Source organism: Homo sapiens, chromosome 1 (assembly GCF_000001405.40).
Source record: "Homo sapiens chromosome 1, GRCh38.p14 Primary Assembly".
Lineage (NCBI taxonomy): Eukaryota > Metazoa > Chordata > Mammalia > Primates > Hominidae > Homo > Homo sapiens.
This window is the reverse complement of record NC_000001.11, coordinates 34,274,166-34,297,944: the sequence shown is the minus strand read 5'-3', so window position 1 is coordinate 34,297,944 and position 23,779 is coordinate 34,274,166. Positions and strand designations below refer to the sequence as shown.

Genomic DNA, 23,779 nt, shown 5'->3' with positions numbered 1-23,779 from the left:
GAGAGTCCTCCTAAAGACAGGCTTGTGTGGCACCAGTAAGATATTTCTTAATGTAAGTCTCAGTGAAGAAAGGGGTAAAATTAAAAAATAACACTAGCAAAGCTGGTCACCTTGGATGTGTGATGTATTTAACCTGCTTGGATATAACCATGGGGAAGAAAAATGAATGGGTTCCTTCATATCTGGAATTTTTCAACAGAGTATAAAAAATGAAGAGATGAACAAGGGAGTTGAGATTCTTTGCAAGGGCATAATTATGGTAACAGACTACAAAATCTCATTGGTGAAAGAAGAGAAGCAAACACAAAGGGGAGCTGAGGGCAGGGGGAAACGTGTGTGTGTGTGTGTGTGTGTGTGTGTTTGTGTGTGTGCTGGGGATGGGAGATGAGAATCAATAATTGGATTTCAGGGGGAATTGAGAAACTAAATGTAAGGATAGGTTGTAATCAGAGGGCACGGTGCTGGAATTTTAATTTTGGAGGTAGTAGTACCATTTGTGGTAATAATTTAGAGTTGAAGGGGAAACCTTGGGCATCAGTGGTGAAGTGGAAGAGGGTGTCCTTTGAGAATGAGGAGCTGTAAAAACCCAAAGGGTGATGTATTAGTTCGTTCTCACACTGCTAATAAAGACATACCCGATACTGGGTAATTTATAAAGTAAAGAGTTTAAGTGACTCACAGTTCAGCATGGCAAGGGAGGCCTCAGGAAACTTACAATCTTGGCAGAAGGGGATGCAAACACGTCTTCTTCACATGCCAGCAGCAAAGAGCAGTGCCGAGTAAAAGTTGAGAAAGCCCCTTATAAAACCATCAGATCTTCTGAGAACTCACTCACTATCACGAAAACAGCATAAGGGTAACCACCTCCATGATTACATTGCCTCCGACTGGGTCCCTCCCACGATACATGGGGATTATGGGAACTACAATTCAAAATGAGATTTGGGTGGGGACACAGCCAAACCTATCAGTTGATGCGTTCCTTTGCTAGGGCTGCTGTAACAAAGTACCGCAGACTGGGTGGCTTAAATAGCAGAAATGTATTTTCTCAGCATTCTGGAGGCTAGAAGTCCAAGGTCTAGGTGTTGGCAGGTTCGATTTCTTCTGAGACCTCTCTCCCAGGCTTGCAATTGGCCATATTCTTACTGTGTCCTCATAAGCCTGTCCCTCAGTCTATGTGTTTGTGTATCCTAATCTCCTCTTCTTATCAGGACATTAGTCATGTTGGATATAACTTCATTTTACCTTAATTGCCTCTTTAAAGGCCCTGTCTCTAAATGCAGTCACATTCTGGGGCACAGGGGTTAGGACATCAACCTATGAATTTGGTCAGGGGAGGGCACAATTCAGCCCATAACAACAGTGTATTAGAAGAGTCATTTGTGTGGACTTTGGGATGAGCAGTAACTAGACAAATGAGAAGATAAAGAACAAGGAACTAAGTCTTCAGTGAATGTAGGAGAGGGCCCAGGTCAGCGGTAGCACCAACAGTCATGTATGCCTGCTTGGGGGAGGGTGTGTTGAGACCCCTAGTTCCTGGGTCTCAACAGAGTGGTTGCTTTCAGAAACAGGACAGAGGTGGTCTGGACGCAGCCACAAGGAGTAAGGGGAACAACCAGCCTCCCTCCTTGGTCATGGGGTATTTGGAAACACGATCTTGAAAACACAGGCTCCACATGAGACCGCTGCCAGAGCAGGGCTGTCCTCAGGCAATAGCCATGTTTCCAAAAAAGGCAGTGGGGGAATGGGGTGTGGGGAAGAGGCTGAAGACACAGGGGAGTTCGCCAGTCAGCAGGAGTCCACATGAGAGGTGTCTGGTCCTCTGCCCTGCAGCGTGAGTGCTCGCCTGTGTGTGTATTCCATGTCCCATCTATTTCAAGACCACCATTCAGCCTTTCCCACCTCCAGAGCAACAACTGTCATTGTCTACTGCCCATGTGGGACATTTTTACCATTTTATTGTTTTTTTTTAACTTTTATTTTCAGTTCAGGAGTACATGTGCAGGTTTGTTATATAGGTAAACTGCTTGTCACAGAAGTTTGGTGTATGGATGATTTTGACACCCAGGTAATAAGCATAATACCTGGCAGGTGGTTTTTTGTCCCTCTCCCTCCACTTTAAATTGGTGGCTGGAAGAACCACTCTCAGGGGCAAAAGGGGATGCCTGTGAAATAGCAGCCGACTCGCCAACTGAACTTCCAAATCCATGTGTCAATTAGTTCCTGGTGAGCAGTGCCCCCAAGAGCTCAGGGCCAGCTTTCTCTCCATGAGTCCAAGGACAACCTAGAATTAAAGAATCACATCCTGGGTTTTGGTGTCTCTGCTGGCCTCTACCATCAAAAGGATTCAATTAAAGTGACAAGGATTGAAATGCCTCTTTATAAAGCCAGGTGATTCTTCCCTTCAGATTTATACATTAATGTTCAAAATAAAAGATCAGCTGTGTGCAGTGGCTTAAGCTACAAGACACATTTAGCCAAACAAGCATGTGCAAGTGCAGAAATTTGAGTTTCAAGCTGGAACATCTGAAGGACAGGATGTGCCTACTCGTTTAGTACATTTTACTCCGTGGACTGAGCCAGGCACTTTAGGAAGATGATGCATTGCTAAAGAGTATCTAGAAGCAGGAAAATAAACCCGAGCCAGGGAAGGCTTTCTCAGCTTACATAGAGGAGCACCTGAAGGAAATGGGCTGAACTTTGATTATCTTCATCACTAGGGAGAAAGAAAATCAGGATTTTATTAATTTTTTTCATTTTTATTTATTTTTTCTTTTATTTTAGGATCCAGGGTACATATGCAGGTTTGTTACATGAGTATATTATGTGATGCTGAGGTTTGTGGTACAACTGAACCCATCACTCAAGTAGTGAGCGTAGTACCCCATAAGTAGTTTTGCAACTCTTCCCCTCTTCCTACCTCCCCTGTCTAGTAGTCTCCAGTGTTTATTGTTCCCATCTTTATGGCCCTATGTACTCAATGTTTAGCTCCCACTTATAAGTGAGAACATGGGGTATTTGGCTTGCTTTTCCTGTATTAGTTTGCTTAGGATAATGACCTCCAGTGTCATCCATGTTGCTGCAAAGAACATGCACTTGTTATTTTTTGTAGTATTCCATGGTAGACATGTACCATATTTTCTTTATCCAACCCATCATGCATGGCCATCTAGGTTGATTCCATGTCTTTGCTATTGTGAATAGTGCTGTAATGAATGTACAATTGTATGTGTCTTTTTGGTAGAATGATTTATTTTCTTTTGGAAAACTGAACCAGAAATTATTTTCCTTTGGAAAACCCAGCAGAAACTGAATATGTGAGAATATCTGGATACCATCTCAAGTTAAATAATAATAAAATGATTATGTGTTTTCATTCATTCAACCAGAATTCTTTTTTTTTATACTTTAAGTTCTAAGGTACATGTGCACAACGTGCAGGTTTGTTACATATGCATACATGTGACATGTTGGTGTGCTGCACCCATTAACTCGTCATTTACATTAGGTATATCTCCTAATGCTATCCCTCCCCCCTCCCCCCACCCCACAACAGGCCCTGGTGTGTGATATTCCCCTTCCTGTGTCCAAGTGTTCTCATTGTTCAATTCCCACCTATGAGTGAGAACATGCGGTGTTTGGTTTTTTTGTCCTGGGGATAGTTTGCTGAGAATGATGGTTTCCAGCTTCATCCATGTCCCTACAAAGGACATGAACTCATCATTTTTTATGGCTGCATAGTATTCCATGGTGTATATGTGCCACACTTTCTTAATCCAGTCTATCATTGTTGGACATTTGGGTTGGTTCCAAGTCTTTGCTATTGTGAATAGTGCCGTAATAAATATACATGTGCATGTGTCTTTATAGCAGCATGATTTATAATCTTTTGGGTATATACCCAGTAATGGGATGGCTGGGTCAAATGGTATTTCTAGTTCTAGATCCCTGAGGAATTGTCACACTGACTTCCACAATGTCAACCAGAATTCTTAAAAACTCATTTTGTTTTGTGTCCTATGCTGGGTGCTAGGGATATGAAAAAGGCAGAGATCCTTTCCCTAAAGATCTCTCAGTCTAGGGGAAGGCAGATAGTAACAGATATGATCAACTCCCATTAGAAGATGGTCTGGACTAGAAAATGAGTCCCAATCACTAGACTCAGGAGCCTGGGACAAAGGGCATCTAGATTTGCAAAGTTTTACTGCACTGGGTATTTTCTAGAGGAAAAAAAGTTTCATACATATATGTGCCATTTTAAAGGAAAGTAGATAAAGTTGTGATTAACAAGAAGTAAATTTATTTGAAAGTTTTCCTGAATTCATAGAGCTTCTTGCCATCATATATTTTATCAATTGATGGATATTAAAACCAAATACTGCATGTTCTCTGGAGCTAAATGATGAGAACACATGGGCACATAGAGGGAAACAACACACACAGGGGCCTTTTGGAGGGTGGAGGGTGGGGGGAGGGAGAGGATCAGGAAAAAGAACTGATGGATACTAGGCTTGATACCTGGGTGATGAAATGGTCTGTACAACAAACCCCCAAGACACAAGTTTACCTATGTAACAAACCTGCACTTGTACCCCTGAACTTAAAATAAAAGTTAAAAAAAAAATAAAAATATAGGTGTATCTGGAAGTTTGGGAAATATTTTGACATCAAAAAGGGAACTTCGGACTAAGAGAATCTGGTAATTGCTGGTCTAGCCACCAGCATGAGGTTACTGTTCTCCAGTGTAATCCAGCAGAACTACATGTTTCCTCTGATCCAAGGCTGACCCCTCCACCTCTGTTACCATGCCCTTTTCCTCTTTGAGAACCTCACTCTGTCGATTACCTTCTCTCTTTAGCATCTTCAATCTTCACCTCTCTGCTAGAACTTTTTCCTTAGTCCATATCCACACTCAAATCTCTTCCATCTTTACAAGAACTTTCTCTATCATGTCAGTTCCACAAACATTTATTGGGCTTCTGTATAACACAGTCTGGAATGTCAGGAAAAGAGTCCCTGAAAAGACAGAAATTGACCTCAGAATATAAGGCAGCACTAACCAATAAATACAGGAGCAGGGGATAGAAAAGATGTTCCAAGCCTTTCATTTTACCTCCTAAAATATCTCCCACATCCATTTGTTCATCCATTTGCTTCCCTCCATCTCCAACACCAAGAGGTCCAAGGTGCAATCCACTCCTGCCTGAACTGTTACAATGGCTTCAATCACTGGCCTAACTATAGTCACTCTTGCCTCCTAGCTGTCTGGTCTCCACATTGCAGCCAGAGAGGTCCTTTCAAAAAGTGACTGTCCTGGACTCCTCACCATAATCCCCTCCAAGGCCTGTATAATCCGGGCCCTGCCTGACTCCTCCTCCTCACTGAACACCCCACATCCCCTCATGCTTCACTGACTAACCCACACCAGCCTTTTAGGACTTTGTATTTGTTCTCTGCCTCCTATCCAAGGACGCTTTTACATGATTTTTTGACCTGAAATCAGGAACTTTTGATTTTGACTTTATTTTGAAAGCAGTGGGAACTCTGAAGGACTTTAAGCAGAGAAGTGACTATATCTGAGTTAATCCATATTCCTAAAAAAACATCCTGGCTACTGTGTGAAGAGTGGATTTGTGGGAGTGGAGAATAAAGCAAGGAGACCACTGAGGTCTCCTTATATTTGGTGATGGATTTGGTGAAGGACAGGGAGACAAATGGAGAAACTGAAGATGACCCCCAGGGTTCTGGGCTAAACGACGGAGTGGGTGCTGGTTTCACTGAAAATCTGTAATAAAAGGTGGTGGTGAGGTTGCAGAGAAAAAAGCAAGCTTATACGTTGTTGGTGGGAGTGTAAATTTGTTCAACCTTTGTGGGAAAGCAGTGTGGTAAATCCTCAAATACCTAAAAGCAGAACTACCATTTGACGCAGCAATCCCATTACTGGGTATATACCCAAAGGAATATAAATTGTTCTATCATAAAGATACATGCACATGTATATTCGTTGCAGCACTATTCACAATAGCAAAGACATGGAAGCAACCTAGGTGCCCATAAATGGTAGACTGGATAAAGAAAATGTGGTACAGATACACCATGGAATACTATGCAGCCATAAGAAAATAATAAAATCATGTCCTTTTCAGGAACACGGATGTGGCTGAAGGCCATTATCCTTGGCAAACTAAGCAGGAACAGATAGCCAAATACCACATGTTCTTACTTATAAGTGGGAGCTAAATGATGAGAATACGTGAACACAAAGAAGGGAACAACATACCCTGGGGCCTATCAGAGGGTGGAGGGTGGGAGGAGGGAGAGGATCAGGAGAAATAACTAATGGGCACTAGGCTTAATACCTGGGTGATGAAATAATCTGTACAACAAACCCCCATGACACAAGTTTATCTATATAGCAAACCTGCACATGTACCCCTGAACTTAAACGTTTTTATAAAAAAGGAAATTTGCAGGAGAGACAGCTATGCGGATAGGACAGGCTCACTGTCCTGTCTCCACTGATTACCTGGTGTTCCCAGCTCTTTGTGGTCTGTGAGTTGTTAGGGTCATGGGGCTGTGGAGTTCTTGCTAGGAAGTAAACTGTGGAAGATACCAAAGTGTGGAGAAGATTGAAGAGCATGGGCTATAAAAAGCATGGTGCAAATTCACTCCTAAGAGATGAGCTTGAGATGTTACCTTGCTTGTCCATGATACCAGCACTCATTTTCCTCTGTATCTCAGCCCCCTCCTGTCTTCACTTCCTTCGCTATCCAGCTCAGATGTCATTTCTTATCATTTCAATCTCTCTCTCACCAATACCCTTGTCCCATTGTTCCCCCAATCCCACTTGTGGAAAAACACCAACTTTGGATGAATCCAATTATCGCTCATCTCTGGTTGCTAAGCACTGCTGGAAATCCACACACATTGGTGTCACTATAAATCATTGGTGCCACTCTAAATTTATGGTCTCTGACTTCAAATGGCCCCTCAATGCTGCTTAGCAATCCTTCTCTATTTCCCTTGTCAGCTCTCTATCTCATTCTCCACAGTGGTTATTGCCAGTTTTAACTCTCTTCAAGCTCACTTCCCCTTCTCTCCCTGAGCATATGAATTCACTCCAATTTACAGAGAAAACAGAAGCCACTGGAAAGGTGAACTACCTGAGCTTTCCTCCATCAACATATAAACTTACCTAAGTCTAAAACTATCCTTTCTGACCTCTCACCAGTTACATGTCTCTTCTTCCGTTTAAAAGTGGTACTTCAGCCTGGATTTTATTCCTCCATCAACATATAAACTTACCTAAGTCTAAAACTATCCTTTCTGACCTCTCACCAGTTACATGTCTCTTCTTCCGTTTAAAAGTGGTACTTCAGCCTGGATTTTATTCCTTCCCACCTTTTTGGAATATTCCTCTAATTATTTCCTTTCTTCCCTATATTGTTCCTCCATTTCTCTACCAGCTCCTTCCCAGCTGCATGAAAACTTGCTCAGATAACCTCATCTCAAAAAAAAAAAAGAAAAGAACCTATTCTTTCCTTTACCCCTAACTAGCTACTACCAAATATCTCTCCTTTCTTCCCATCAAAACTTTCTGAAAATATGGTCAGCACTTTTTTGTCTCCAATTTTTATGGCCCACTCTCTCCATGAACCACTGTAGTCTTACTTCCACCATGAGTCTGCCCTCACCATTGTTACCAGCAACCTTCATTTGGAATTTGGTGGTTACTCTACAGTCACTATGTCCCTTGGGTTCTCAGCAGCTTGACACTGTTAACTACGTATCTTTTCTAGAAACTCTCTCTTCTCTCTGGCTTCTGAAAACCACACTCTCCTGGTTTTCCCATATTCTCCTAGGCTACTACTGTCTTCCCCTTCTTGACCTGGAATGACAGAGTTACGTGCTGGGCTTTCTTCACTTTTTTGTTCTATACCCTGATCTTGAGTAGATTCTATGGTAGCTTATTTGCAAAAATAGTCCCAATTCGCTACCCCTCTCTGTACCTGCTCTTTGTAATGTAACTTTGCAATTCTTCCCATCAGCCGGTGGAGTCTATTTATCTGCCTGTTGAATCTAGACTGGCCTTGACCAACTTTAGCTAAAAGAAGATGGCAAAGCAACATTGTGCCAGTCCCCAGCCTGGGACTCACTGCCGTGTGAGCAAACCTGTGCTAGCCACTCGGATGATGACAGCCCTATGGTCTAGTCACTCCACCCAATAATCAGCCAAGCAGCTGCTGAGTGAGGCTGTCTGAGACCAGCTTCCTCAGTCAAACTTCAAAGCCTATTTTGTCACCATTATACTGCTTTCCTGAACCACTTGCAGTTTCAAGTACATAATAAGTTCTCATGTCTCTAACTTCACTCATGCTGACTTTTATTCCTTACGCATTCTATGCTTCTGCTTTTTCTGGCTAACTCCTACTTATCCTTTTAAACTTTACTTGAATATGTCTCTTTAAGAAGTTTTTCAGCCTTTCCTTCTTTCCACGGGAATGGATTAGAGAACCCTCCTCTCTGTCACTATAACATCTCCTGCACATTCTACCCTCCTCTCACAGCATCATACTGATGTTATGTCTCTGCTCCTAGACTATGAGACACTTGGGGACAGGAACTCTGGCCTCAGGAATAGTACCAGTGGGTGCTACATGCACTTCACCCAGCCAGGCACCATGAGCCAATATACACCAAAGGAATGGTTGCTCAGATACCATCATGGTACAGCCCAAGTTCAGACAAGTAGAGCCCAAGTACCTAAAAGTGCTCAAAATACCAGCTACTCCTATAGAATGGAAATTTCAATTCATCTGGCAATTTCTAAGGCAGTGGATCTTCAAATGAACTTTTCACAGATAGAGAATTTGCAAAACCACTCACCCTAAACTCAAATACGTGAGCTAGAAGAGAAACTGCAAGAGATCACGGGGTTCCTGCCTTTTCTTCCTTATTTCATCGATAGACAGTTTCTCATGAAAATGAACTCTAAAACGTGCTAGAAATGAGAGATTTAAGAAATGGAATAGGTCACCCTGGCTATAAGATTCAAATGGCCCCCAAAAGTCACTTTGTCTTTGACAGTGAAAGCCACCCCTCTCTAGGATGGGTGGGGCTTCCCTAGAGTCCCCAGTCTTAAAAACTGCTGTTATCCACTGGGGAAAGGAAGGTGTCATGCAGCACGGGACCATCAGTTCCACTTCAGCCATCTTTGATATGATGAGACAGTGATGAAGGAAGCTGCCATCAGGAGAGGAGAGTATCTAGAGAACAAAATCCTGGGTTCTAGCAAATGTCCCAGGCAATTAAAAAAAAACATTACAAAGTGTGTAGGGAGCACACACTGATATGGTGATATTACATGTCCAGAATACATTTTGCAAAGTTTCTCAGTGCAGCATCGGGGAATCTATAGCCATCTACCTTTTAAGAGATTTCTTTTAAAAGCCCTTAATTCTAAAATTAAGAGCACACCAATGAGGGGCTGTGGAGCCTGCAAGATCATAGGGTACTGTAGGTTAGTTTGTCATTGGGTTGGTGGTGTTTGCATTGTAATTACGGCTTAGCATAATTTTGGAATGTAGACACTGTTGTACAGAAGTGTGGCAAAGACTAATGCTTCTCACCAAAAATGTATCTTTACCTCTTCTTCTTGAGCACACAGTCAGACTACATTTCCCAGTCTCCCTTGAAGTTAGGTGTGGCCATAAGACTAAGTTCTCGTCATTGAAATGTGACAGGAAGTGATTTGTACCACTTCTAGGCTTGGCCCTTAAAAATTCCCATATCTCAGGTTTGCAAGATGGAAAAGGTCCTAGAGATGGATGGTGGTGATGGATGTGCACCAGTGTGAGTGTACTTAATGCCACTGGACTATACCCTTTAAAGTGGTTAAAATGGGAAATTGTATCTTATGTATATTTTACTACAATTTAAAAATAAATTTTAAATGTTTCTATACATGCTCCGTCATTGTTTTACTCCCTTTCAACTGGCTGATATGGAGAGAATTTCAGGGCAATCTTGGAAACCACTGAAAATGTTGAAAATGACAGGGACTCTGTAAGCATGGTTACAGGTAATTTGGTTACCCGAAATAAATTTCTATTGTATTTGAGCCATTATATTTATTGGGGTTTACATTAATTACCTATTGCTGTATAACAAATTGCCCCAAACCTTAGTGGCTTAAAACAACAACATTTATCATCTCAGAGTTTCTGTGGGTCAGGAATCCAGGTGTGGCTTAGCTGGGTCCTCTACTTCAAGGTCCCTCGAGACAGTAATCAGGGTGTCAGCCAGGGCCACAGTCATCCCAGGCTTGACTAGGGAAGGAAGTATCTGTCTCCAAGCTCACTCACGTGATCATTGGCAAGATTTGGTTCCTCACGGGCCATTAGGCAGAGGCAACTCTCAGTTCCAGGCCATGTGGGCCTCTCCACAGGGCTGCTCTCAACGTGACAGTGGCCACCAAGTGAGAAGAGCTGGCGTGAGGGAGTGAGTGAGGCCGAACTCTCCATCTTGAGTAACCTCATCTCAGAAGTGACATCCCTTTTTTGTGCCACATCAATTCACTAGAAATAAATAATGAGGTCCAGTCCATACCTTAAGGGCTTTTACACAAGAGTGAAAAAGGAGAATTATACAAGAGTATGAGAGCCAGGAGACGGGGATCCTTGGTATCCATAGGCTCTATTTGCTGCAACAGCTATCCTACCCTCACTATCATAATGAGCCTAATGGATCAGGTTGCAGCTTTGGTATTGGTGAGCATTTTTGAAGGTTGTTTGAATGTTAGCCCCATGCATCCTGCCTCTCCATGGGAGCAGAGGCAGAAATGCCCAATTTCAGGTTATTTGTAACTGAAGAGATGAGTGGCGGCATTTCAAAGAGGACTGAGTTTTTCTGGCATGATCCATAGCAGCATCATGACCACACCTGACCATAAATCCAAGACCCAAAGGAGAATTCATTTTCTTTTGCTACCAAATGCTCCCACTTCCTTTCACCCAGTGACTAAAAACCATGACAGCAGGATGTTCCCCACAGTGGTGGCTTTGCTATGCTCTTCTTTGAAGGGTCTGATCAGTTCCCACTACTTTGGAAGGTGGAGAAGGGAGCTTATAGGTCAGGCTTTCACAAGCCTGAATGGAGGCGGGGCTGGCCAGACAGCTGTCAGATGCAAAGATCCTGGCTTTATGTGTCGTTCAACATAATTGCTCATCTGGCTGAGCCCTGCTTCTCCGCAGATGTTGCATCACTGCACTGCTGGAATTGCTGCTCTCAGCCCCGTCTCATCACTCTAATTAAGCCCAAATAATAAGGCAACATGTTAGACACGATGATCGAGTTTTAATTAGACTTTGATAAACCCAATGTGAATTTGGTCTCATCAGGTGCAACATTTCTGATGAGAAGGAAGGCTGTGAATCATGAGACAATTTTGATATAAAAAGCTATTATGGTTTCAGTGTCATTTGTGTGTAGGGAGGTTAGAGGTTGGGCATGCATGTAATCATACTAACCCTTTACATTTGGGGAGTACATTACTGTTTTCAATTTCTTTCAGATCATTGCTATGTGACTGTGGGAGCTAAGGCTCATCTGGAACAAAGCATGCAAGCCCAGATGGGGAGAAGAGGGAGACGATAATGTTTAGTCAGTTCCTAAGGCATACCAGGCACTGTGCTAGGAACATCATACATGGAATAGAAGACAAATATCTCACCAAAGTCCCAGCACTTAAGAAGTCTCAGAACAAAGACCCCTGCTTATGTCTGTTCATTTCCTTCATAGGTCTCTCTTTACCACTTCATGCAAACAGTCTTCCAAAGCCATCCTGGAAGATGACAGTCACAGACGCAAAACCACAGAATTAGAGCTGAAAGTGCCCTTAGAGATAGATCCAACCTCCTCACTGTATGCATGGGGAAACTGAGGCACAGAAAGGCAAAGGCCATCATCCTAGTCACATGATGATTTGGTGGCAAAATCAGACAAGAATTTGTCTGACCCTACAAATCCCTCTAATTCATTTAATTCAATTTGATTCAACAAACACTTATGGAGCATCCACTATGGGCCAAGCACTGTTTTAGGATTGTATCCACAGATTAAAACAAATAGAGATCCGTCTAGTAGACTTCCATTCGGGGGGGTGGGGAACAGACAGTGCACAATAAATAATTTATATAGTATGTTATGAGAGGGTAAGTGTTATGGACAGGAAAGCGAGAGAGAGAGAGCAGGATACAGGAGGTTGGGAGCCCCAGAGATGAGAGAGCTTAAATTTAAAACAGTGTGATTAGGGTAGGTTGTACTAAGAAAACTTTCTAAAGGCAAAATTCTCCATCCATTCCTTTACCTATCTATTTCTTGGGAATTTATTGAACACTTCCTGTGTCCAGTCTTTTAATGGCAGTGTGCTGTGATGTCAGTGGGATCCAACCACCCATCTTTCTTAGGAATCTCTGCTAAATCCAAGGTCACCATGGTGTTCTGAGCTACTTTTTCCTAATAAATGGCATTTCCCAAGATCATGACCAGCCAAGTGGCTCCAATGGTATTGATCATTTCCACAGGGCACAAAACCTCTGGATGCAAAATAAGAAATACAATAGCGGGTGAGGAGGTGAGAAGGTGTCCCCTGCCACACTTGGGAGCAGGCAGTTTATCTGCAGAAGCCTTCCTCTCCTCCCACTCACTCATCCCATGTGGCACTCCCCATAAGCCTCCCTTCCTGGAAAATGCCCCACCTGACCTCTACCCACCTTTCCCCTTCATGATTCCTCCAGACTGGAGCTAACACCGCCATCAAAACCCCATTTGAAACCCTCAGTCATCCCTGTATGCTTAAGGGGTCTGTGGATTCCTGCGCCTACTCCAGTCTGCTAATTGGAGTCCACCGACCCAAGGCCATTCATCTTGTACCTTCTCCTAACTTGTTGAAGTAGCATTCTAGGCAGAAGTGCTCTCTATCGGTGGTCTTCATATTACACTATGTGGGAGCAATAATCTTTTGTGCTTGGGTAGAATTTTACAATTGACAAACAAGGCACTTTCCCATCCATCATGTCATTTGAGCCCCACAAAAGTGCTGAGCCATTATTCCTTTTTTTCTCCCCTAGATTAGGAAGCCTACACTCTTACGATTGAAAGATTTGTTCAATGTCACACAGCCATTGAAGCACAATTCAGTGTCCAGTGATCTTTCTGGAACCCTGTGCTGGCTGGCCCTGTGGACATTTGGTGACAGGCCATGTGGACAAAGTAGAAGTAACCGCACTCCAAGTTGAGTAGAAAAGTAATAGAACAGCATGAAACCCAGGGGTAGGACAGTGTCATATTTCTCAAACTTCAATGTGTGCAGAAGTCACCAGGGGATCTTGTCAACAGGCAGATTCAGAGTCAGCAGGTGTGAGGCAAGGCCTAAAATTCAGCATTTCATGAAAACTCCCAGGTGATGGCAATATAGCTGGCCACAGGCCACACTTTAAATAGCAAGGGGATGATACAAGTCTGCTCACCACGTTGTCCCATTGGATGGAGTTCTGCCCTTTAGGAGTCATGTGAGTTTGAGCTGGTCTCATGGACAAGCTGAAAGTCAGGGTGGTTATTTTTTCCTAAACTATGCAACAGAGAAATGCCATAGCGAACTTTCAGACAAAACCCTGATTGAGCTACACCCTGAAACTGCCACATAATGTTATGCAAGGTGTACCCTGCACAAAGGCACCTGCCTGTTGGGGATGGGTGTCAGCTGAACTCCAGCTCTCACTCCACTCACCATGCAGCACCCCTGCACCTAGAGAAAGGGGCACCATTTCTTTCATTGGTACAAGGGCACCACATGGACAAGCAGAGGTCTGGTATACTTTCCTGCCCTCCTTGACAACTACTCATGGTCTAATTGATCCACCTCTATAGGGCTTGATACAGTTAAATAGATATCTGTCTTTTATCTCCTCCCTTATGCCACTTGTTTCTGAGAGCTGTTCTGGTAATGGCCTCCTCTATAGACCTCTCTTTACCACTTCATGCAAACAAAGTCATCCTGGAAGATGACAGTCACAGAGGCAGAGCCACAGAATCAGAGCTGAGAGTGCCCTGAGAGACAGATCCAACCTCCTCATCTCCAGACCTCTTCTGTGTCCTCCAGACCTCTTCCGTGTCCTACCTCCATCAAGAGCTTGCAGTAGGGCCCATGTTCATTCATTTCCATTCATCCATTCAACAGAAAATATTTATGGGGTGGCCGCTATGTGCTGGGCACAGTTCTAAGCATTGAGAATACAGTCAGTAGTAAACAAACAAGACAAAGCCCCCACCCTTATGGAGCTACCATTCTCAAAGGGAAGAGAAAAATACATAAATAATGTTTATGATAATGGCAGGCAATATTCCTTATGTAAAATAAGGAAAATAAGGAAGGGTGGTTTGGAGATGACATTTGGGCAGGGACCTGAGGAAGATGAGGGAGTGAGCTGTGGGAGGGTGGGGTGGGTAGTGGGCAAGCACAGTTTTGGCAGAGGAAGGGCCAAAAAGCAGGAGCAGCAGAGGAAGGGCCAAAGGTCCTGGAGCAGCAGTGTGCCTGGCATGACTTTTCAAAGAGGACTGAATTTTTCTTGGCATAGCAAAGAGCCCCAAGAAGGCCAGTGTGGCTGGAGATGCATGTGTCAAAGGATGCATCTCGACCATGGGGAGAACTTTGGGTTTCATTCTAAATGTGAGGGATAACGCTGGAGCTATCCACCTTGGCCATTGCTGCCACTATGTGATGCCCCCAACCGTTGTCTCTGGTTTAAGTGTTTTATGGGGGTAGGGGTGTGGCACAATTCATTTAACAAATTCAACAAATATTTTTTGAGTCCCCTACCATGTGTGCCAGGCACTGTTCTAAGCCCTGTTCTAGGTCTTGGAAATATACCAGTGAACAAGACATGCAAATTCCCCACCCTAGTGGGGCTTATATTCCCATCAACAGGAAGACGAATCTTCACAATACACTCTTATCCTTGCTGAGACCCACATGGAGATGAGAGCAGCATGGGCACTGCATAACTGAGCCTCTCTCTGTTTAGATAGTCATGTTGGGGAGGGGTGAAGCAAGCCAGCAAGGGCAGAGGGGTCTGCTGCTACCCACACACAAATGTTCTGTGTTGGTGGCTCTTGTGGAAGTCTAGAACAAGAGACGGATGTAAAGCAGAGAGAAAGAATAGCTCCAGGAAGGAAAAGCTTGTGAGGCTGAGCATTTACCCTCAGAATGTATGTAAATTCTGGAAAAAAAAGAAAATGGGATGGGAAGCTTAACTTTGTTTGTATCTTACATGCACGTGAGAGGCACAAAAACAAAAATAGACAAATGGGATTACATCAAGCTGAAAAGCTTCTTCACAGCAAAGGAAACAATCAACAAGTGAAGAGACAGCCTACAGAATGAAAATATTTTCAAACTATTCATCCAACAAGGAATTAATGACCACAATATATAAAGAACTCAACTCAACAGCAAAAAAAAATCTGATTTTAAAAATGGGCAAAAGACTTGACTAGACATTTCTCAAGAGAAGACCACAAATGGCCAATAGGTGGATGAAAAATTGCTCAACATTACTGATCATCAGGGAAATACAAATCAAAACCACAATGAGATATCATCTTACCCCAGGTAGAATGGATATTATAAAAAGAAACAGAAAATAAAAAGTGCTGGTAAGGATGTAGAGAAAAAGGATCGCTCATACTCTGTTGGTGGGAATATGAAGTAGTATAGCAATTATGGAAAACAGTATGAAGATTCCTCAAAAAACTAAAAATAATCCAGCAATCCCATTGCTCAGTACACATCCAAAAGGGAAAATCATTATATTGAAAAGATAGCTGTACTCCTATGTTTATTGTGGTACTATTCAAAATAACCAAGATACGGAATCAACCTATGCCCATCAACAGATGAATGGATAGAAACTGTGGTAAATATTAAAAAATGGAATATTATTCAGCCATAAAAAAGAATGAAATCCTGTCATTTACAGCAACATGGATGGAACCAGAGCTCATTGTGTTAAATGAGATAAGCCAGTCACAGAAAGACAAATGTCACATGTTCTTACATGTGGGAGCTAAAAAGTTGGATCAAATAGAGGAAGACAGCAGATTGGTGGTTATTAGAGGCTAGGAAGCCAGGTCAGGGAGGGTGATGATAAGTTGGTTAAAGAATACAAAAATACAGTTAGATGTACAGTTAAATAGAAGAAATAAGCTCTAGTATTTGACAGTATTGTAGGCAAATTATAGTTAACAATAATTTAATGTGTATTTCAAAATAGCTGGAAGAGGATAATTATAATATTTCCATCACAAAGAAAACATAAATGTTTGAAGTGATAGATAGCCCAATTATCCTGATTTGATCATTACGCATTGTATACAGGTATCAAAATAGCAAATGTACTCCCAAAATATGAACAACTATTATATATCAATTTTAAAAGTGATTTTTAAAAAGACTTGATCACTTCTTCCTTTCAACAGATGTCTCATCCTGCACCTAGCTCAGTGCTTCTGGTATCTGTCACAGAACCTGGCTCACGCCAGGCACTCAATAAATACTTACTGGGGGAATAGTGGGATGGATGGATGATATGATGTCCATCTGGGTATAATTTTATCTCAGAGTAGCTTGTTGTTCTAGGGTGTATGCATGTGGGGATAGAGGAGCCCACAAGAAAGGTCTGAGACTCATTAATTCATCTATTTTTCCCCCTCTAGCACCTACACCATGGTCTTGTACATAATAAGAGTTTAATAAGTGTGTGCTAAATGAAAGAAGATAAGCTTTGATCAGAAATATGAGTCCAAGGGTTCAGGTTTTCCCATGAAACTTTAATGCCATAAAGGATTTCTGCATATGAAATTTACCCTTCTCTGCTCACCTTTACATAATTCAAGCAGCATGTGGCTCCTTGGGGACTTCTTTGGACATTAAGTTCTCTCTCAACAGTCCTAGGATTGAACAGCTGCATGTAAGCAATTACCATCTATTTGTCATTACCAGGGGGTTATGGGGAGCTATGGAGGAAGAGCATGGAGATGAGAGACAGTGTTGCAAAAGGGCCCAGGGACCAAGAGGCACAGGGATGGGGTCCGAGGCATGGGGCCTGCCTTTGTGGAGGTCCGAGCTTGGGGAAGTCAGGATACAGGACAAGACCATGAAAGCACCCCAGAGGCATGGGGGACTTTAAGCCACTTCTTGGTATGCTTGTTTCTTTCTCCCTGAACAATATCTAGCTCATGGCCCCTCAACATCTGCTTGACAAGCACATCTCAACAAGGAATGGCAGAAAAGGGAAGAGGTCGGAGAGGTTGTCTTTGTTTTGCAGCGAAAACCCAGGAGATGATGAGGAAAAGCACTGAGGCACTCTTTGAAGATGGGGGTCCCCTGAGAGCTGTCAGAGAAGTGGAAAATGCCTCAGGCAGGGTTTGCTGGCTCCCCCTACACCCCTCAATTCCCAGAAACATCTGCACTGATGACTTGGTAAGGACAAGCCCAGGCTGGAGATGATGCAGCTAGCTAGGACCCTCTAAGAAAAGATAAGAAACAACTCCTGTAGAGACCCAGAACTCAGAAGGGGGAAGCCTTCAGAAAAAGGAGAGGAGTAATGTCCCTCACCTGACTCCTCATTAAAATGAAATTCTCTCCAGTGGAGGTAGGCTGGGAGAAGAAACCCTTCGGCCCCAGCCACTTCATTGTGAATTAGTAGTGCTAAACCTTTTTGAGGACAGAGGGAGAAGTAGAGGAGAAAACTAACATTTAACACCCACCCACTCTGGGGCAGGCTGCCTCACACACCTTGTTTCAGGGACCTCTCATGACAACTCTCTGAAACAAGTTATGTGATTTTCATCTGTAGTAAATTGAATTTTCCCCCAACCCCATCCCCCAAAAAAGCTATGTCTGGGAAACTGCCAATGTGATGTTATTTGGAAAAAAAGGTATTTGCAGATGTACTTAAGGATCTCAAGATGAGATCATCCTGGGTTATCTTTGTGGGCCCTAAATCCAAAGGCAAGTAAGTGTCCTCACTAAAAGACAGAAGAGGAGAAAATACAGGGAGAGAAGAGGAGAGGCCATATGAAGATGGAGGCAGAGACTGGAGTCACAACCCAATCTCTGCCTCCATCACAACCTTGATTGTGATGCAACTACAACCCAAGGAGTGGCTGGAGCCAACACAAGTGGGAGGAGGCAAGGAGGGACTCTCCCCTACTGCCTTCAGCCAGAGTGTGGCCCTCCCACCACCTTGATTTCAGACTTCGAGCCTCCAGAATTGTGACAGAGTACATTTCTGTTGTTTAAGGCTACCTGGTTTGTGGCAATTTGTTATGGTAGCCCTAGAAAATTAATACATCTTTTCATAGATGAGAAAAATGAGGTTCAGAGAAACTGAGCAACCTCTGTGAAGATACCTGACTCGTCTGAGACAGATCTGGGTTACAGACCTTGCAGTGGGAGCAAACTGTTGGCATTTTTCAAAGAGCATCCTTCAGAAATGAGCCCATAAAGACCCCTGAAAAGAGTCCCATTGCCAGAAAGTTTGGGAAATGCTATGCCTTGAAGGTTTCCACAGCTAATGTGCATAGTAAAAGCTCAACAAGACCTTCCCTTGCCCTGGAGGAGGGTAGGTCCTTACCTCGGCTGTTTTTCCTCTAGCGCCTTCCCTAAGCTTCCCTCCTTGGCACTTAAAAATCATGAGGCTGAGTAAATGCATGTCTGGAATTTGTTTTGGTCTAACGTTTTTCTCTCCAGCTGGACCCCAAGCTCCACGAGAGCCAGGGCAGCATCTGATCTCTTCTCCACGGGATTCCCAGCCTTTTGCACAGCCCTTGGTGCATGGCGAGGGCCCATTGATACCTGCTGAATGAATGATCAAGAAAAAAATGTTGAACTTTGTTTAAGCCCAAGGTGTCCCAAACTTTACTAAACTCTTTCCCCTACAGCACCATAGAAGATCAGATTCAGGGAAAGGTGAGGGACCTCGCCAAGAAGTTGAGCTGTCTATGCTGTTTTCCAAGCTTGAATACAGACCTCTATCTGAAGAGCCCTTTGGCCCAAAGAGACTCTGCTGTCTCTCTCTGGGAAAGAAAGATGCTCATGAGCCCATGCAACCCCAATGAACACACCTGTGGGATCTGGGGGGTGAGGAGAAACAGTTGAGATGATTTAGAGTCTACTTGGAAAAATAACCATGTGATGCTAGCCAGGAAAATTCTAAAATTTAAAAAAAAGTGGGTAAAGGAAAATAACAACCCTTGCCAGATATATAAAAATAATAAAAATTAGCAATACTTAAAACTGTTTGGTACTAGAACAAGCTGGTAAAGGAAAAGAGAATTCAGATAGAAATCCAAGAACACACAGGAATTTAGTATATGAATTATATGGTATTTCGCATCAGTTAGGCAAAAAGGATTATTCAAGAAGGGGTGTTGAGACAACCGCCTTGCCATCTGGAAAAAAGTAAATCTGAATCTGGTCTTCGCTTCTCACACCAAAGCAAATTCCAGATGGAGCAAGGATTTAAACATAAAAAATAAGCCCATAAAAGTACTAGAAAGAAACATGGAAGAATTTTTTTTATGGCTATGGAGCAGAGACAGCCTTTCTAAACAAGACGTAAACCTTAAACTGAAAAAGTAAAGAATTGATTCATTTCAGTAGAAAAATTGAATGTTCTAAACTTCAAAAATTACAGTAAATGAACTCAAAAGTCAACTAACAAACTGGGAAAAAAAATCTGCACCACATATGACAAAGGTCTGGTTTACTTAATATATTAAAAGCTCTTATAGATTGATAAGAAAATGAAAAATAATCTATCAGGAAAAATAAATGAGCAAAAAACAAACAAAAATTACAACCTGACAACTCAGAGAAAAAGACTTGCAAATGGCTACTAATATATTTTTCATCATTTTTTAAAATTGACAGCATTGCATGCCTTTATCATGTATAACATGATGTTTTGAAGTATATACACATTGTGAAATGGTTAAATCTATCTAATTAGCAAATGCATCACCTCATAGTTATCATTTTGTGGTGAGAGCACTTAACATCCACTTTTTAAAACTTTTTCAAGAATATATTTTATTAACTATAGTCACCTTGCTGTACAATAGAACTCTTGAAATTTATTCCTCCTATCTAACTGTAATTATGTATCCTTTGACCTAAACTTACTTTTGTAATTAAAGAAATGCACATTTTAAATGAGACATGATTTTCAGCTATTAGACTGGCAAAATCCAAAAATTTCATAAGACATAGTACAGTGGTAGCACAGGGGTAGAGAAAGACACACTTGCCTATTGTTCATGGAACCATAAATTGGTGCAGGCCCTTTGCTGGGGAATTTGGTGATATTTGTCAAAATGGAAAGAGTGGACCAGATGCTCAGTGGATACAGTTCCTGCTTCAGTAGTGCTTAGGCTGAACCAGTGCTTGCCCTTGTCAACCCCCTAGAGCCTCAAGTCCACCTCTCCTCAGCCACCTATCAGGGTCCTGTATACCCCATGAACTACCTCCAGCGCCAGAGACCTCCCTCAACCCCAGATCACCCTGGAGCCATGTGTCTCCTGCATCAACTCTCCATGGCCTACCACTTTGTTTGAGATGACATGGCTGTGAATAACTCTGCCAAATGTCTTCTCAAATCCCATTAAGAGAAAGAACATACTGAGACCCCAGTGAAGCTGCAGAACCTACGGGGTAGCCAATCTTCCTTCAGAACACCAAGAAAGTAGCCCATCGCAAATGGGAGGTGGCTGAATGTAGTGAAGTCTGCGTTCCACTTGAGTGAGAGTGTGAGTTGGTCATTATTAAAATTGTGCACACTGGCTGCCAACACAAATGACCTCTGCTTTGAGAATTCTCTGAGACCCATTACCTGAATGAGTACAAGTAATCCATCAAAGAATAGAGTGGCCATGAAGCCAACTTAAGGAAGATAGGGTCCCAGGAGTATGGCATGGTGGCATAGCTTTTAGACAAGTGTGTCCTAGGAGACAGTGCATGTGAGAGCTAAGCCCAGGCTGGCTTCCTCAAAATCATGAGGTAGCTTCCTGAGGCAGCACATGCATCCTGTAGATATCTGTAACTTTTCCAAAAGCTGTGTCAAAACATCCCCCACATCTTCTTTGTATATGCCCACCATTCTTGCCATAAGGAAATCTTGTGACCTCTGTCAAAGAAATATTAAAACAGCACATACATTTTAACCTGGCAATCTGTCTTCTAGGAACTTATCTTTCAGATATGCTCATGCTTGTGCCAAAGACACATATAATTACAGGATTTGTAGCAATAGTAGAAAATGAAAAGTAATTTAAATGTCAATCAATGGAAAACTAGTTAGATAAATTATAGGACATCATACAATGGAAAATTAGGCAGCCGTGAAAAAAGATGAGACAGATGATATAGACATATCCAAGATATATTATTTTTTAAAAAAGCGAGGCACTGAATGTTCCATCACTGATGCATTGAAAGGATCACATGTACCTAGAATATTTCTAGAAGAAAAATCATCAGTGCAAAAGGTGTACAGTAACAGGATCTGTCCATCTCACTGCAGACGAATCCCACCGTAACTCAAAGGAGGGAAGATCCATTATCTGAAATGTGAGGGTCTTCAGGTATAGCCCTTCTCCCAGCCCAGTGGCCCAAGCATAGATCTGGGTTCTTGTTTAGGGTTGTCCTCCAAAATCTGCTTGACTGACTAGGCCCCCACCAAGGTTGGGATAGGGGTTCTCTGTTCTGGCCAGGCTCCTGACAGCTGCCTATGGACTCACACACTCAGGCCAGAAACCCATTCCCATTATGTGTGTCTTCCTTACCAATCAGCAATGCCCCTGAGGTGTGGAGCAGTCTGTGTGGAATATCCAGTGCCATCTCCTGCAGTCCTGAGTTGTACCTCCTTCATGAGCACCGTTTAATGGAGTATTGAGAACCATGCCTGGAGTATCAGACATGGCTTCCAGGAGTCCTGTGCTCTGCCTGGAGTGTGGATGGCCATCTATCTGGAGTACAGAGCACTGATTGCCTGGAGTTCAGAGCACTTCAATCCTGAGCACTTGCTGACTGGGGAACTAAGCAGGGCCTGTGAGTGCCAAATGCTATATGCCTGGACTATAGGGTGGAGTGTGCTGAGGGTTTTGAGCACTCTCTTGGAGTTGTGATTCTATACCTGGCTGACAGAGAAGGACACCCCTCCACTACCACCAGCACCACTTCCTCATGAACCACTTGTTGTTGAATACTGTCTGAAGCCAGGATTATATTTTTCTTCCTGCCTATCTGACCTCCTGTTCGGCACCTTCCCCGGAATAAATCTACCCTACAACAGTAGTAACATATTTATTGAATATCTATTTTATGCTGGACATGGTGGTAACCTTGACACCTACTGTGTGCTGGGCATGCTGGTACCTCGATATCTACTGTGTGTTGTGTATAGTGGTAGCCTTGACATCTACTGTATGCTGGGCATGTTGGTACCTTGATACCTACTGTGTGCTGGGTATAGTGGTAGCCTTGACACCTACTGTGTGCTGGGCATGTTGGTACCTTGATACCTACTATGTGTTGTGTATAGTGGTAGCCTTGACATCTACTGTATGCTGGGCATGTTTGTACCTTGATACCTACTGGGTGCTGGGTATGCTCGTACCTTGATACCTACTGTGTGCCGGGTATAGTGGTAGTCTCATAGGATTGGCAGTAATAGAGAAGGACAGGACCTGCTTCCTTGCTCCATGTCTTGCTTAGACATACACAGGGTGGTCTGGCAGTTTTCTGAGCTGCTCAGAGTGAGTTTAGCAGTCAGCATATAGATCATGGTTGGCCAAGCTCCCAGAAAGCCAAGGGTTAGAAAGATGGATTGACTTCATTTTAGGAAAGGCCAGAAGATCTGAGATTGGTTGTGAATGCTGATAACCCCACATGTGGGTCCCATGGGTCAGAGCCTAGACTAGGGGAGCCAAGGCTATGCCACAGTACCCAAGACTCCATCTACATTCTTCTATCTTGGGCCCTGCACTCCTTCCACCAACATCAATTTAGGCCACAGTTATAATTAAACCTCTCCAGGTCTCGATATCAGATTCCTTCTGCCCAGGTGCTCACTAGGAGAGGTATCAGCAGCTGTTTTGCCTCTGGGCTGCAAGCATGGGCGCGTGGTCAATGGTTAGTGCCTGGTAAATTTAGCAGTCTCTCTCTGCCAGAGGTTACTTTCTCTCTCACTCTTTCTCCATGCTGATCTGTATCTCCAGTGCTGGCTCAGTCTTTCTGAAGAAAGATGGCTCCAGGCAGTCTCATACCTGCTTGAAATACATCACAAATTCTAATACCAATCCAAAAGATTCTGCAGCCACTGCTATTATGTGTGACAATCCCACTGCTATTGTGTGTGACAATCCCACAGTGCTGGATGTAAATAAGTGTATGAGCATCAGGCTGCAAACCTTAATCACAGACAAGTTGCTCAACTTCTCCAAGCCTTAGTTTTTTTCACTGACAACAGAGGATAAAACTTGAATCTATTTCATAGGGTTATTGTGAAGATTAAGTGAATTAATATATTTAAAAGCACTTGAAACTGTGCCTGGCACACACTGAGTGCTAAATAAATATAAACTAACATCACTACTAACAATGATATACTGAACATCAAACATCGTCCTTTATAAGTGTTATTTAATTTTCACGCAGTGC

General features: G+C 42.9%; 1 long non-coding RNA gene and 1 pseudogene across 1 annotated transcript; one reads left to right on the top strand and one right to left on the bottom strand.

Moving 5' to 3' along the window:
- Window positions 1–1,996: 1,996 nt before the first annotated feature.
- Window positions 1,997–18,097, bottom strand: LOC105378639 (uncharacterized). Its single transcript, XR_947169.2, has 4 exons — window positions 17,675–18,097; window positions 16,938–17,007; window positions 4,846–5,016; window positions 1,997–2,284 (listed from the first exon to the last, which is right to left on the bottom strand). It is a non-coding gene; the product is annotated as an uncharacterized LOC105378639 (long non-coding RNA).
- LOC100420336 (ferritin, heavy polypeptide 1 pseudogene) lies at window positions 20,581–21,086 on the top strand (annotated as a pseudogene).